Source organism: Homo sapiens, chromosome 10 (assembly GCF_000001405.40).
Source record: "Homo sapiens chromosome 10, GRCh38.p14 Primary Assembly".
Lineage (NCBI taxonomy): Eukaryota > Metazoa > Chordata > Mammalia > Primates > Hominidae > Homo > Homo sapiens.
This window is the reverse complement of record NC_000010.11, coordinates 44,314,405-44,329,212: the sequence shown is the minus strand read 5'-3', so window position 1 is coordinate 44,329,212 and position 14,808 is coordinate 44,314,405. Positions and strand designations below refer to the sequence as shown.

The 14,808-nt window shown below is 42.3% G+C and overlaps 1 long non-coding RNA gene across 1 annotated transcript in view, besides 2 other annotated features; it reads left to right on the top strand.

Annotated features, from left to right (window-relative positions):
• Positions 1 to 14,808, top strand: part of LOC124902544 (uncharacterized) — a 57,376-nt gene that overhangs the window by 22,077 nt on the left and 20,491 nt on the right. The window lies entirely within an intron of this gene.
• Positions 3,041 to 3,256: a silencer, noted in NCBI's record as "fragment chr10:44821405-44821620 (GRCh37/hg19 assembly coordinates)". NCBI's record gives its function as "represses an EF-1alpha promoter that drives an FKBP-Casp9 reporter gene in an ReSE screen in phorbol 12-myristate 13-acetate-treated (for megakaryocytic differentiation) K562 erythroleukemia cells {active_cell/tissue: K562(+PMA)}" and the evidence as "EXISTENCE:reporter gene assay evidence [ECO:0000049][PMID:32094911]".
• Positions 12,403 to 12,652: a silencer, noted in NCBI's record as "silent region_2339". NCBI's record gives its function as "represses an Ori minimal core promoter by ATAC-STARR-seq in GM12878 lymphoblastoid cells {active_cell/tissue: GM12878}" and the evidence as "EXISTENCE:reporter gene assay evidence [ECO:0000049][PMID:35858748]".

Genomic DNA, 14,808 nt, shown 5'->3' with positions numbered 1-14,808 from the left:
CAGTTTAAGATACGATTTGGGTGGGGACACAGCCAAACCATATCAGCCTTGCTAGAGGTCTAATTGTATTAATATTTTTTTTTTGAAGAACCAGCTTTTTGCTTCATTGATTTTTTTCTATTCCTTTTCTATTTACAATTTTGTGAATTTCTGCTGTTTATTATTTTCTTCTTTCTGCTTGCTTTGGGTTTACTTTGTTCTTTTTTTCTCCCAGTTTCTTGACGTAGGATCTTAAAGTATTAATTTGAGATTACTCTGATTTTCTAAACTAATAAATTAGGGCTATAAATCCCCCCTCAGCACTACATTAACTGCATTTCATGTATTTTGATGTGTTGTATTTTCATTTGTTTTTTATTTCTTTTAAGACTTCTTCATCATCTTATGGGTTATTTACAATTTTGTTGTTTAATTTGCAAATGGTTGGAGATTTTTCTGTTGTTCTGTTATTGATATCTAGTTTAGTTACATTATGGTCAAAGAACATATTCAGTATGATTCTTATTATTTTGAATATATTGAGGCTTGTTTTATGACTCAGAATATGCTCTATCTTGGTGAATGCTTCATGGATGCTTGAAAAGAATGTGTATTCTGTTGGCATTGACTAGAGTGCTCTATAAATGCCAGGCAGTTCCTGTTTGTTGGTGTTCTTCAGTTCTTCTAATTACTGAGAGTGGGGGGTGTTGAAGTGTGTAACTATAATTGTGGATTTATCTATTTCTTCTTTCAGTTCCATCAGTTTTTTATTCATGTTTTTTAAGGCTTTGTTTTTTGGTGGATACATATTTAGGATTATCATGGCTTCCTAGAGGATCAATCTTTTTATCATTATGGGATCTCATTTTTATCTCTAGTTACTTTTTTCTTTCTTTTCAGGTCTACTTTACCTGATATTAATGTATCTACTTCTACTTTATAAAAATTATGTATAATGGTATATCTTCTTCCATCCTTTCACTTTCAACCTACCTAGATCACTCACTGGCTATGAAATCTGTGTGTCATTTCATTTTATGTGTCTTGCAAACAGAATACTTTTTACCATGTTTTAAAATTCACTTTGTCAATTTCTTTTAATTGGTGTACTTAGATCATTTACATTTAAGGTGTACTTAGATCATTGGTATACTTAGATCATTTACATTATTGGCACATCAGGACTTACATCTGCCATTTTGTTGTTTTTTGTTGGTTTCTTCTTTCTTATTCCTGTATTTCTCTTCTTACTTTTCTGTGAGTTACTTGAACAATTTTTTAGGATCTCATCTTGGCTTATTTGTAGTAACTTCCTTCTTTGGAATTGAGAGAAGCTCCGATCTAAATGTTATTATGTTTTACTGTGGGAAAGGCTCATTACAGGAACTGCATGTGACTCTTACAAAAAACACAGCACCCAGGACCCAGGCTTCTTTGGGGTAGAGAACCCATAACCAAGTACAGGACCCTCTCCACCCTTCACATGAGGAAGCTTTGACAAAACTCAGCACCCAACAGCAGTGGAGCAGTAGATAGCAATGTCACCAGGACCAACCATCTGGCTGTGAGAAAGCACATCTCAAATTTATCACTGGAAGGAATCCTGAGAGGGAAGATAGAACTTCCCATGGTTTGCAGGATGGGTGCTCAAAATTTAGCCCTATAAACCTGGAGTGGGCTTCCTTTGTACCTCATGCTGGGGAAAACATACATCAACGGAAATGTCAACGGTATCTCTTCCTTACCCAGAATTATCCATCTAACTGCAGCCCTCCTCACAGTGACCTATTGAATCCAGATTATCTGCCTTACTTGGCAGAGAAGAATGGAGACAACCTTCACCATCCTCTATGTCCCAAGTGAGATGCAAGTATGTGGCCAAAAGTCCTGTAGCAAGCATTTCCCCCAAGACGTTTAGAGCTTTCAGACACTCAACCTCATTGGTCCTTGAGGTAAAGATCAAAGTCTTTATCTGTCTGTTATAAGTGGAAAGATTAAGGAATGGATGCTTGCCCAAGGTCACATGCTAAGCCAATAGCTGAATTAGTAAACTCCCTCCTTAGATCTATGAGTTAATTGGACATGCTAGCTAATATCTGCAATGCTACATATTTCTGATGCTTAGTTTATAATCTAACTGGACTTCTGCCTTCTCAGAAAGAAGTGTACAGTCTGGTTCAGGGAGACCTGGTTCAGTCAGGGCTCAGTTAGCATAATACATAATGATGAGGGTGACATGTAATAATAATAGCTCACCTCATCTTGAGGTTTTTAGGACTCTCACTGGATTTGATCATTCATTAATTCCTACATTCATTAAGTAATCTCTGTCAAAAGCCACTAGAGCCCAGCAGTGCTCAGAGTCAGGTGCTGCAGAGGGGAAGGTGTCAGGTTGGTGAGAGAGGCAGCCAAGTAAACAAACAATTACAGATGCAGGGACAAGTCCTATGGGAAAGGGAGCTACAAGGAGCCAGGAGACAGGAAAAAGTGGGCTGAAGGAAACTTTTCAGAAGTGGCTGCCCTTTATTTAGAAATTTGGCAGGCAGCCAAGGGGACAAAAACTATTCTAAGCAGATAATGTTCTAGATAGAAGGGAGGGACAGCAAGAGCAAAGACATTGACTTAGCACTAACTAATGGTACATCCATGAAAGACAAGGAACTCAGTGTGGCTGGAGACCTGGAAGGCAAGCGTAGGTTTATGGGAAATTAGATCAAGGAGAGAATCTGGGGCCAGATTGAGGGAGGCCTTCAACATCTGCCACCTCCACAGCAGTGCACCATGTTGGGAAGAGCATGGGGATTGGAATCAGATGATCTAGTTTTAACAGGGATGCTGCCTTGTTTATGGGATTCCTTGCTTTCCCCCCTCCCAGCCACCCAAGGTGGCTAAGGCATTAGGCAAAGAATGGATTTACGAAGCCGTAAAAATACCAACTCAATATCTTCTAATGGTTGGTATATGTGTCTGGATTTAACATCAGCTGAGTGGAGCTTGAAGCCACTTTGCTCTGGTTATAGGATCTAGTGAAGCTTAAGAAACTGGCTGGAGACCAGGCCTGTGGAATAATTGTTTGCCAACATCTGCTTTCAAGGTACGTGGAGCTGCTGCTTTCAGCAGTCAGACTTTCCACTGCTCTCTTACAAGCATCTTGGGAGTGTGTTCTCCAGGGGCACTGCTCAGTGTCAGAAAAGTAGACACACAGATCCCAGGACAGGTTAATTGTGTCCATTCACAGCACCGCATTCACATACTCTTCCTAAACCCTTCCCTGCAAGAGAAGCTCCGGGGATCGTCGTCAGTCAAGATTGATGTCTTTTCTCTTCTCCTTCTCCTTTTTTTTTTCCTTTTTATTTCCTCCAGAGAAGATGATTTATTGAGTACAGTAGCCAAAGTTGGAAAACATCTAATACCTTGTCTATTAAACCAGAACCAATGGACCTACCACTCCGTTTAGAAAGCTGTCTACACCTAGGCCTAGTAACAGCTGTGTTGACAGTCCTGGGATGAATGAGGAAAATGTTACAGAGATTGAAAATGTGTGACTAAGTGACTTAATTCTTTGATGCTTTACTCTCAAAGGAAGACTGCTTGGAAAACTTGGATGTTTCTAGAGCTAAACTGCCTAGGGTGTCATGGTTTTTCCCGTTTATCTAAGTACAGCTGTTTGATGAACACACTTCACACCTAAAAATACACACACTGTACCAACACACACACACACCACAAAACACGTGCATGCAATTTCATATTTCCAGAGAGCCACTGTGAGTGCTACCATTACTTGCCTCCTGCTGGAGAAGAGGAGTGAGGTAGGTCAGCATTATAACAGCTCAGATCACATAGCTTGGCATATGATATGCCAAGTGCTCTGACAACTAATTCTCTCAGTAACCCTTCCAGGAAGGCGTGGTCCTTTCACTCACAGGTGAGAAAACAAAGGCTCAGTGGAGCTCAGGTACCAGCTCAAAGTCCCACAGTGACTCACTGTATGTTTGTCTGGCTCTCATGCCTGTGTGTTCTCTGTGACTATGGCAAACCAGACTGTCCTCCAAAGACAACGGTGTCAAGGAAAAATATAGTCTTATTTCCGCAGACAGGTATAGTCACCTCCTCTGAGTTCATTCATTTATTTAATGAATTTACATATGCTGGTCTACTACATGCCAAGCACTTCTCATTTAGAGAAGGTTATCACAGCCTAAACCAAACATACTGGAAAGCTACTGCAGCTGCAGGTTTTGTTTCATTTATGTCTCACATATTGAGAAGCAGAGAGTACTCTACAAGCCAGGTAATCAAAAGAATAGGAAATGAGTGATATCTGCAGGTGTCACTTCAATGATTTCAACGGGGACATCACTCTTGGCTCTTCAGCAGGTTTCTTAGGTTCTCATGGCTATTCTAACAAATCACCACAAACTTGGTGGCTTGAAATGACAGAAGTTTATGCTCTCACACTTCTGGAGGTCAGAAGGCAGAAATGAAGGTGTCAGGTGAGCTGCACTCCCTCCAGTGCCTCTAGGGGAGGATCCTTCCTTGCCTCACCCAGCTGCTGGTGGCTGTGGCAAACCTCAGCCTCCTCAGCCTTGTGGGAACAGAATTCCCATCTCCATCTCACATAGCCTCTTCCCCCTGTATCTGTCTCTCAGTTCTCTCTTTTCCTTTGCCTTTCCTTTCCTTTCCCTTTCACTTCCCCTTTCTTTCTTTCTTTCTTTCTTTCTTTCTTTCTTTCTTTCTTTCTTTCTTTCTTTCTTTCTTTCTTTTTCTCTTTCTTTCCTTCCTTCCTTCCTTCTTTCTTTCTTTCTTTCCTTCTTTTTCTTTCTTTCTTTTCTTTCCTTCCTTCTTTCCTTCTTTCTTTCTTTCTTTCTTTCTTTCTTTCCTTCTTTTTCTTTCTTTCCTTCTTTTTCTTTCTTTCTTTCTTGGCTTCTTTCTTTCTTTCTTTCTTTCTTTCTTTCTTTCTTTCTTTCTTTCTTTTCTTTCTTTCCTTCTTTTTCTTCCTTTCTTTCTTCTTTCTTTTCTTATGGGGTCTCAATCTGTTGCCCAAGTTGGAGTACAGTGGTAGGATCACAGCTCACTGCAGCCTCCACCTCCAGGGCTCAAGCAATCCTCCTGCCTCAACCTTCTGAGTGGCTGGGACCACAGGCCTGTGCCATCACGCCCTGCTAATTTTATATTTTTTATGGAGGTAGAGTCTCCCTATGTTGCCCAAGCTGGTCTCAAACTCCTGAGCTCAAGCAGTGTTCCCGCTTTGGCTTCCCAAAGTGCTGGGAGGTGTGAGCCACTGTATCTGGCCTTTTCTTGTAAGGACACAAGTCATTGAATTTGCTAGGATTAGGATACCTAATACAGTATGACCTCGTTTTAACTTAACTGATTACACTGGAAAGACCCTATTTCCAAGTACATTCTGAAGTTCCAAGTGGACATGAGTTTTGGGGGGATTACTCAACCCATACAGTAGGAAAGCAACAGGAAACACCTACCTTAGCCTCTCACCAACCTCTTTCCTTCCACCACCACTGTCATCCACCTTGTGCCTTACTACCCACTGTTCTCACCCTCTACCTCCTATCCCAACAAAAATCTCTGCTAGAAAGTCCCTAGAATCACTCTCTTGCCCCATGAATCAAAGCCCTCAGGTAAGTCCTCTTTCTTCAGACTGAATACCCAAGACAATTGATCCAGTGCTCTGAGACCGTTCCTCAGCTGGGCGAGAAAGTAAGCAGGTGGGCAAGCCTGAGCAGCCAGACCTTCCTGGGACTGATGTTCAGCTACACCACCAAGTAACCCGATATTGGGAAAGTCATTTAAGTTCTTCAAACCAGAGGTTCCTCATCCATGGAATGGGTTATGTGTAAGTTATAGGGTTATTGAGAGGATTAAGTTAGGCAATAATTTAATGTTATTAAATGGTAGCTATTAGTAGTAGTAAACTGGAAGAAGTACAAGAATTTGGGGCTACACCAGGGAAAGGTATGACCTGGATGAAAAGAAGTGGTTGCTGCAGAAAATTGTAGGGTCTTCTACCAACTGGACCTAGGAGACCCAGTTTGCCTGGAACAACAGCTTGAGAAATAGACCTGAAGAACTCTGAATGCTTAGCAGCACCTTCCCTGTTCATGAGTACAACTTCTCCGGCACTTGGCATGGCTTTGCTTCCAACTATCTATGAACTCTTCTCTCACTACCCGCCTCCTTTCCTGGAGTAAGTAAAACAGTAAGTAAGAACAGTAAAATTAAATGACTAGCTTAAGGACAAGGAAAGCAGATAAGAGTCATTATAAAGTTATAACAGTAAAAACAATCTGGTTGATTCAGTAAAAGATAAGTAGGTAAGATAACAAGACTGTTAGGGTTTGAATGTTTGTCCCCTCCAAAACTCATGTTGAAACTTCATCCCCGATGTGGCAGTATTGAAAGGTGGGACCTTCAAGAGGTGACAGGGTCATGAGGGTGCCCCCATAATTGGATTAATCCTTTCATGGATTAGTGGATTAATGGATTAATAGGTTATCAGGGGAATGGAGCTATGGTGGCTTTCTAAAAAGAGGAAGAGAGCCCTAAGCTAGTGGGCTCAGTCCTGGAATGTATTAGAGCAAGAGTGAACCCTAATGTAAACTGTGGACTCTGGTGATAATGGCATGTAATGTAGGCTCATCAGTGGTAACAGATGCACCACTGTGGTGGGGGATGTTGATAATGGGGGCCGGGGGGCTGTGCCTGTGTGAAGCAGAGGATATATGAGGAAATCTCTGTACCTTTCTCTCAATTTTGCTGTGAACCTAAAACTGCTCTCAGAAAATGAAGTCTAAAAAATTCCCTGTTATGTGTATGTAAATGCTTTATTATGTATTAACTAATATGAATGATGCACCTCATGACTCATAAAGGCACCAGGGTTTGAAGGAGGCAGGATTCTTCCTTGAATATCTGCCTTGGGGTATGATGGAAATTAGTCTAGTAACTGAAAGCAGTCTTAATAAAGTGGATTTAAACCATGGCAAAGGTGCCACGATGGTGAGGGCAGAGGCAAACTGAGGTCTGGGCACATGATGGGCTATGCTAGAAGGTGGGCAGGCAGCCCTGTGACCCCTGCTCTTGATTCAGCAAGAGTGGCCCTGCTTTTCTCTGCTTGGAAGCCCCCCAGTGCTTCTGTTGGATAAGGCTCAGGGGCTGAGTTTCTAGGATAATCTATATCCACTCATGACAAAGTTTAGCCTCTGAATCTGAACAATTTATTCTCCATCATCTGAGTGAAACTGAAAGCTAGCATGACCACAGAACCTCTTATTGAAAATGTATTTGATTTTAGGGTTACCAGCATCAAGGTAACCTGTTCAGGGCCTAGGACTCCATATCTCACTTGTGGTGACAGAAGGGAAGCATGCCATCCACAAGAGAAGGTCCACCCAGGGACAACTGTGTGATCCTAATGGTAACAACATCCACACTCCTATGGTGGTAGAGTTTAAGTAGACTCTAACATTGTATAAACGGGAGCCCTGCTCACCCACATGATGAACTCACCTGCCATACATATGGCATCCAGTCATCACATTGAAATCTGATTTCTTCCCTTCCCTCAGGCAACCAGAATCAAATCCCCTTAGGAAAGGGAGCAGAAATTTCAGCCTTTACACAGGGTAGAGTTTAGTGACACTGACAAATACTTTATTTTTAATGACATCGATGGAATAACATTCCAGAATATTTTCATCTCCCCCCACCCAACAAAAAGTAACTATATGCATTAACAGTCACTTTCCATTACCACCCCAAATACCACCACCCCTTGCAACCAGTGATCTATTTTCTGTCTCTACGGATTTCTCTATTCTGGACGTCTTATGTAAAATGAACCATATATATATATATATATATATATATATATATATATATATATGCCCTTTTGTGTCTGGCTTTGTCACTTCTTTCACATGTTTTTAAGATTCATCTGTGCTATAGCACACATCAGTACTTCATTCCTTTTTATTGCCAAGTAATATTCAATTGTATGGATATATAACATTTTGTTTATCCATTTATCAGTTGATGGAACACTTAGGTTGTTTCCATTTTTGGGTATTATGAACAATTCTGCTATAAACATTCATGTACAAGTTTTTATGTGGACATATTTTTAAGTTATCTTGATTACACATCCAGTGGAATTGCTGGATCATATGGTAATCCTACTTTAACTTAATGAGAAACTGCCAAATTGTTTTCCAAAATAGCTACACCATTTTACATTCCCACCAACAGTGCATGAGGATTTCAGTTTCTCCACATCCTTGCCAACACTTGTTCTTATCTCTCCTTCTTATTATAGTTGTCCTTGTAGGCATAAAGTGGTTTTGATTTGCACTTACCTAATGAAGTTGAAGATCTTCTCGCGTGCTTATTGGCCATTTGTTTATCTTTGGAGTGACGGCTATTTAAATCCTTCATCTATTTTTTAAATCAGGTTATTTGTCTGGATACTAGACTCTTATCAAATATATTATATACAAATGTTTTCTCCCATGTGAGTTGTCTTTTCATTTTCTTGATAATATCTTGTGATACACGTTTTTAATTTTGATGAAGTTCAACTTGTCTGATTGTGTGTGTGTGTGTGTGTTTGGTGTCATATCTTAAAATGCAAGGTCATGAAGATATACCCTATTTTTTTCTATGAGAATTTTATAGTCTTAGTTATTTCATTTAAGTCTTTGATCCATTTTGAGCTAATTTTTTATATGGTGTATGAGACAGAGGTCCAACTTCATTCTTTTGCATGTGGATATCCAGTTGTCTCAGCACCATTTGTTGAGAAGATTTTGTGGTTCTCATTTAATGATCTTGACACTCTCATAAAAAATCAATTGGTCATAAATGTGAGGGTTTATCTATAGATTCTCAGTTCTAGCCCATTGATCTCTTTGACTGTCCTTACCCAAGTATCACACTGTTGCAATTGTCATAGCTTTGTAGTAAGTTTTAAATTAAGAAGTGTGAGTCCTCCACATTTTGTTCTTTTGCAAGACTGTTTTAACTATTTAGGATCTCCTTGCAATTCTATGTAAATATGAGAACCAGTGTGTCTATTTCTGCAAAAGAGGAGGTTGGGAATTTGATAGGAGCTGCATTTGAGCTGTAGATTAATGTAGGAAGTATTGCCGTTTTAACAATGTTAACTTATTTTATCCATGAATGTGGGATGTGCTTCCACCTATTTAGTTTTTTATTTTTTATTTTTGAGAAGGAGTCTTGCTCTGGCACCAAGGCTAGAGTGCAATGTCGTGATCTCAGCTCACTGCAACCTTCACCTCCCGGGTTCAAGCGATTCTCCTGCCTTAGCCTCCCAAGTAACTGGGATTACAGGCACGTGTCACCACACCCAGCTGGTATTTTTAGTAGAGACGGGGTTTCACCGTGTTGATGAGGCTGGTCTCAAACTCCTGACCTCAGGTGGTCTACCTGCCTTGGCCTCCCAAAGTGCTGGAATTACTGGTATGAACCAACATGCCCGGCCCTTACTTAGGTTTTATTAAATGTATTTCAATGATATCTTGCAGTTTTTGGTGTAAAAGTCCGCTACTTCTTTTGTTAAATTTATTCCTAAGTATGCTATTCTTTTTGATGATGATGTAAATGGAATTGTTTAGTTTCACTTTCAGGTTGTTCATTGTTAGTATACAGAAATAACACAATAGACCTCTTTATCTGTGGGGGATACTTTCCAAGACCCCCAGTGCACCCCTGAAACCACAGATAGTACTGAAGCCTATGTTTTTTCCTTTCCATACATACCTATAATTTTGATTTATAAATTAGGCATAGTAAGAGATTAGCATAATTAACATAATAAAATAGAACAATTATAACAATATACAGTAATAAAAGTTATGTGAATGTAGTCTCTCTGTCTCTCAAAATATCTTGTTGGATTGTACTCACTTATTTTCTGCCTGCAGTTGACCTTGGATAACTGAAACCACAGAAAGCAAAACTGTGGATAAGGAAGGGCTACTATCATAAATGTGAGTAGATTGATTTTGTATCCAGAAACATTTCTGAACTCATTTGTAATAGTTTTAATGCTTTCTTACTGGACTCCTTTGGAGTTTTTAAATACAAGATCATGGCATCTGCAATTGTAGTTCGAATTCTCCCTTCCGATTTGGCTCCCTTTTGTTTCTTTTTCTTGTCTAATTGCCACCCTGCTAGAATCTCCCGTACAATGTCAAATAGAAGTGACAAGTACAGACATCCTGGTATTGTTCCTGATCTTAGAGGGAAAGCATCCATTATTTCACCAGTAAGATGGTACCATGGGTTTTCTGTAAGTGACATTTATTAAGTTGCATGATTGACTTTTTATGTGATTCTCACTACCAGTCAGTTTCATTTGCCAGCTCTCACATACCTCAAGAGCTGTTTGAAGCTATATTGGCATCTTCAAAGTTGCAGAGGCCAATTTCTCCCCATGATCTCTGTATAATATATTTAAACCTAAATAGTGATATCTTAGCATGTAATAGACTAACAGACAAGTATGTTCTCTTTGTTACATCCTGGTATATCTGAAATAGTTTAGGCTAGATATCAGAAAACCTACCACTTTCTTTGTTTGACAAAAGCATTTTGCCTGCCTTCTCTTTAATTTCCCCCTCTATAACATGGGGGGAAATTACATCTACTTTTACTTTCTAACTAAATAGGTGAATATCAAATAAGAAAAATGGATGTGAAAATTGGCAACTCGTAGAGTGCTATGCATATCAGAGAATGGATCATGTTGATGAAGATGCATCGGGTAGAAAATACAGAGATCCATTTTGCTTTCTGCAGCCAAATGGGCGCAGTTGTACTCCAGATCTCTGACTTTCACATTCTGGGTGCAAAAAAAGTGAATGGGATCAATTTCTCCATGAACTGAAACAGGACTTTGGGCAAGAAAATGGATGCCTAGAATGGGCAATGTGCTCTGGGACAGAAGATTGTATAATACAATATAAGACAATAATACAATAGCAGGAGAAGATGGAGGAGAGGGACCCACAGGTCTACATCCCTTCTCAAGTGCAAGGAGAAAAGCAATATTCCTCACAGCCTCAAGAAGCCTGTGGCCCCGCGAGCAGGGCTAGGCACAGCAACTTCCACTGCTGCATGCAGTTAAGCCACATATTGAAAATGGAAACACTTTTTCTTTGCCACAGAGCAACACAGGGTGCCTGGCTCAGGGCATAAAGAAAGAGGTGAGGAAAGTCAACAGCTAGTCCCTCCCAGCCAGGGTCACCCGTTGCTGCTCAGCCTGGCAAGGCTGAAGTTCACCAGAGGCTTTATTAAACACAGTCTTTACTAGAATAAAACTCTTTCTTCAGAGTGATTATCCATGATGACACCCAAATGTAACATTTTCTACTCAGTGATTTGATGATGACATGATAAACTCGAGTTATAACTAGAAAACTATTTTAAAGAGAAAATCTGGAAGTTGCTGGGGCACATCACTGCAATTACGATGCTCACAGCTGCCTCGTTTAAAAAAAAAAATGGAGCCCGAGGGCTTCCAAAGATGATAACCAAAAGTAAAGTAACCATAGGTCTTGGCACAAAACAGCCAAAAGCTTCAGAAAATAGAGAAACAGCTCGCTTTTCCTTGCGGCCACACCAGGCTGCACCAGGACTGGGCCAGCAGTGTGCCTTGTGTCAGAATTAGGGATGAGGGCACCGGTGGGATGTATGATGGGTCTTGGATGATATTCTCACCCTGGGCCTAGTCAAATACAGCCCGAAGGAAAACACTGCTGTGTGTCTGTGAGTGTGCAGCGGAGCAGCTCCCCAAATGTATTCTGTTGACCTCTGCAACTGACTTGGTGGAGCAATCTCGCTATAGAGTAGATGTCGTTGTTTAGCAAAATACCTTGAAATGTTAAACATGAGGCTTCTGAGGTGATGTTTGGAAAGAGAAAAGCGAAGCTATAACTAAAACACATTGAGAAATAAAAAGAAACGTGGGTTTGGGGAGGCCAAAGATGAGCATAGAGGTGTTTGAGAGCAGGGGAGGAGGGGAGAGCTACTCGGCCCACTTAGAAATGTGTTCAGTTTGAAATTCCCAGAGGCATAGCGTAGCTGACTCCTTTGAAACGGTAGCCCGTAGAGATTCAAGTTTACTTCCTGACTGCATGCTGCAGGCATTTCACCGCCTCCCAGCCTCCCAAACCTTTGAGCAGCTAGACCTCTACTTCCTTTCGAGGTGGCGATCAAAAGGTGGGGGACTGTCGAGGAAGGGGAGGTCTCTACCTCCACCTTGTAAGGGCCATGGTTCCGAGAAGCAGGGTCCAAAGACCAGGTTAGAGGTCCTGAAGGGGACCGTGCTCACCAGCAGCAAAGTGAGTTGTGCTGGCACACAGGGACCAGGGCTGGTGGGAGGGGCTGAGGGTGGTGGGAGGGGCTGAGGGTGGTGGGAGGGGCTGAGGGTGGTGGGAGGGCCCAGGGCTGGTGGGAGGGGCAGAGGATCCTGGGAGGAGCCAGGGGTAGTGGGAGGAGCTAGGGTTGGTGGGAGGGTCTGGGGCTGGTGGGAGGGGACAAGGATGGTGGGCAGAGCCACGGGTGGTGGGAGGGGCTGAGGCTGGTGGAGGAGACGGGGCTGGTAGGAAGGGCCGAGGATGGTGGGAAGGGCCAGGGGTGGTGGGAAGGGCCGAGGATGGTGGGAGGATTCATGGCTAGTGGGAGGGACCAAGGCTTGTGGGAGGAGTCAGGGGTGGTGGGAAAGACCCAGTGTCTAGGGACTGGCCAAGAGTGGTTGCTTTTGTTTGTTTTTCCTAAAGAGTAGTTTAGACCAGTCATGTTTCAACACTGGAGGAAAGTGATGGGGAGGAAGTGGATGGGACGGGGAAGACCTACACAAGTGTCTTCCATTCCTTGGTGTCATTATAGCAATGAAGAGGAAAAAAGTGATTCAAAGTAAGAGTGGGAAGCTGGGAAAATTAGTAGTGCTGGTTGTTCGTAGCTGAAGGACTCCTGGCAGTGTTTGATATTGCTGTAACTTCCAAGGCAGCAAAAATTGAATGGGAACCCTACTCTGCCACCTGTGAGCTAGGTGCTATCTCTTTACCTGAGAAATGGAGATAAGAATAATGATCTTGCTGGTAATCACACCACTCTTTCACTCCTAAGAGGAAGAAGTTGCCTTCCTGCTTCAGCATGGCCACTAGACATGAAGAGATCCGAGGGTCTGACCAGTGAGGCTCCTGCCTGAGGGAGCCCCAGGGGTCTCTGCAGTTCTTTCTTCCTAAACTGCTGCCCTCCCCAAAGGCCACCAGTGCCTCTGTCAGCCCACAGCTGCCAGAGAGCCCCTTCTCGGCTAGGTACGTGCAGACCAGGATGTCCAGAAGGCATCCGTGCTGGACTACAGCACCAACGGAGGGCAACATGTTTGGAAACATAGGAAGCTGATGGTGGAGTAGATACAGGAGCCCCATGCTTGTAAGAAAAAGAACAGAGAAGAAAGATTATATCCTGAAAAGAGTGAAAGGTGGTTCTGGGTTATAACCTGGACTCTCACCATTCCCTGATTTTAGGGTGCCAGGATTGAGCAAAACCATCCTTGCACTAGAATGTAGGAATTGCACTCTCTTTTTTTTCTTTTTTCTTTTCTTTCTTTTTTTTTTTTTGAGATGGAGTCTCGCTGTGTCTCCAGGCTAGAGTGCAGTGGAGCGATCTCGGCTCACTGCAACCTCCACCTCCCGGATTCAAGCAATTCTCCTGCCTCAGCCTCCCAAGTAGCTGGGACTATAGGCACTCTCTAAATCAGAGTGCAAAAGGACCACATGTCTGGGCTGGGCAAGTCCTCATGGCAAAACCCATTAGTGTTTGGAACCCCTACACTTTCTAGAACCCAACTCTCCTATCTCTTCTTCCCTCCTTCCACTCCAGGCATCCTGAGGCTGGCTCGGGTTTCCTAAGGGGTCACAAGCTGAAACGCAGCTCCCTGGGGTGCCCTTCCTGCCTGCAAGCCTCAGAGTGGCCCTTCGAGACTCGTCTCCAAAGTCGCCTCCTCTGTGTAGCTTCTGGGTCTCCTCCCAACTTTTGGAAATTTCCTCTTCTGGCTCCCACAAGCCTTATTTCATGCTATTCACTCCTCCTGCTTTATTTTTTTTTCTGTTCTGCCTCCAGACTATGAGCTCTTTGAGGGTAGTCACTGGCTGGAGGCATCTGGGCATGGAAACATTTTGTTGAATGAGTGACTCTTGGTTCTTGCTGTTCATTGGCTGTTAGCGTTGCCTGTATCCTGTGCCAGGCACTTTGCTGAGTACTTTATGTGCATGTTCTCATTTCAGCCTCATAACAAATCTATACATGTCCTAGTATTACTCCCCACTTAAAACCAAGAAACTTGAGTCCTAGAGAAATTAAGTGATTGGCCTCAAGTCAAACAGCAAGTGGCTGGGACATGACTCTGACCAGATTAATCTATCTTTCCCCCAGAGTTGTTTTAATGTTGGGAAAAAATCTGAAATGGTTTTAAGCAGACTATGAGATCGTGAGGCTATTTGTCTGAGTTTATTCACTGGGTGACTTTGAACCTGAGCCTCCGTTTCTTCTATCTATAAAATGGGGATAGTAATTCTGCACCATGAAGCTTTTATATGGAATAAATAAGCTAAAGTAAGTAGATCCTTAAATCCCTGCTTAGGGCTGCAACTAGGGTACAGCCAGGCAGACACCACCCTCCCAGGGCCCAGCATTTAAGAGGCACACATTCTCAGGAGCTGACCTTGCACCCCTACTACCCTAAGCAGGAGCACTTCCTTAAGTGACATCCCTTTCTTGGTC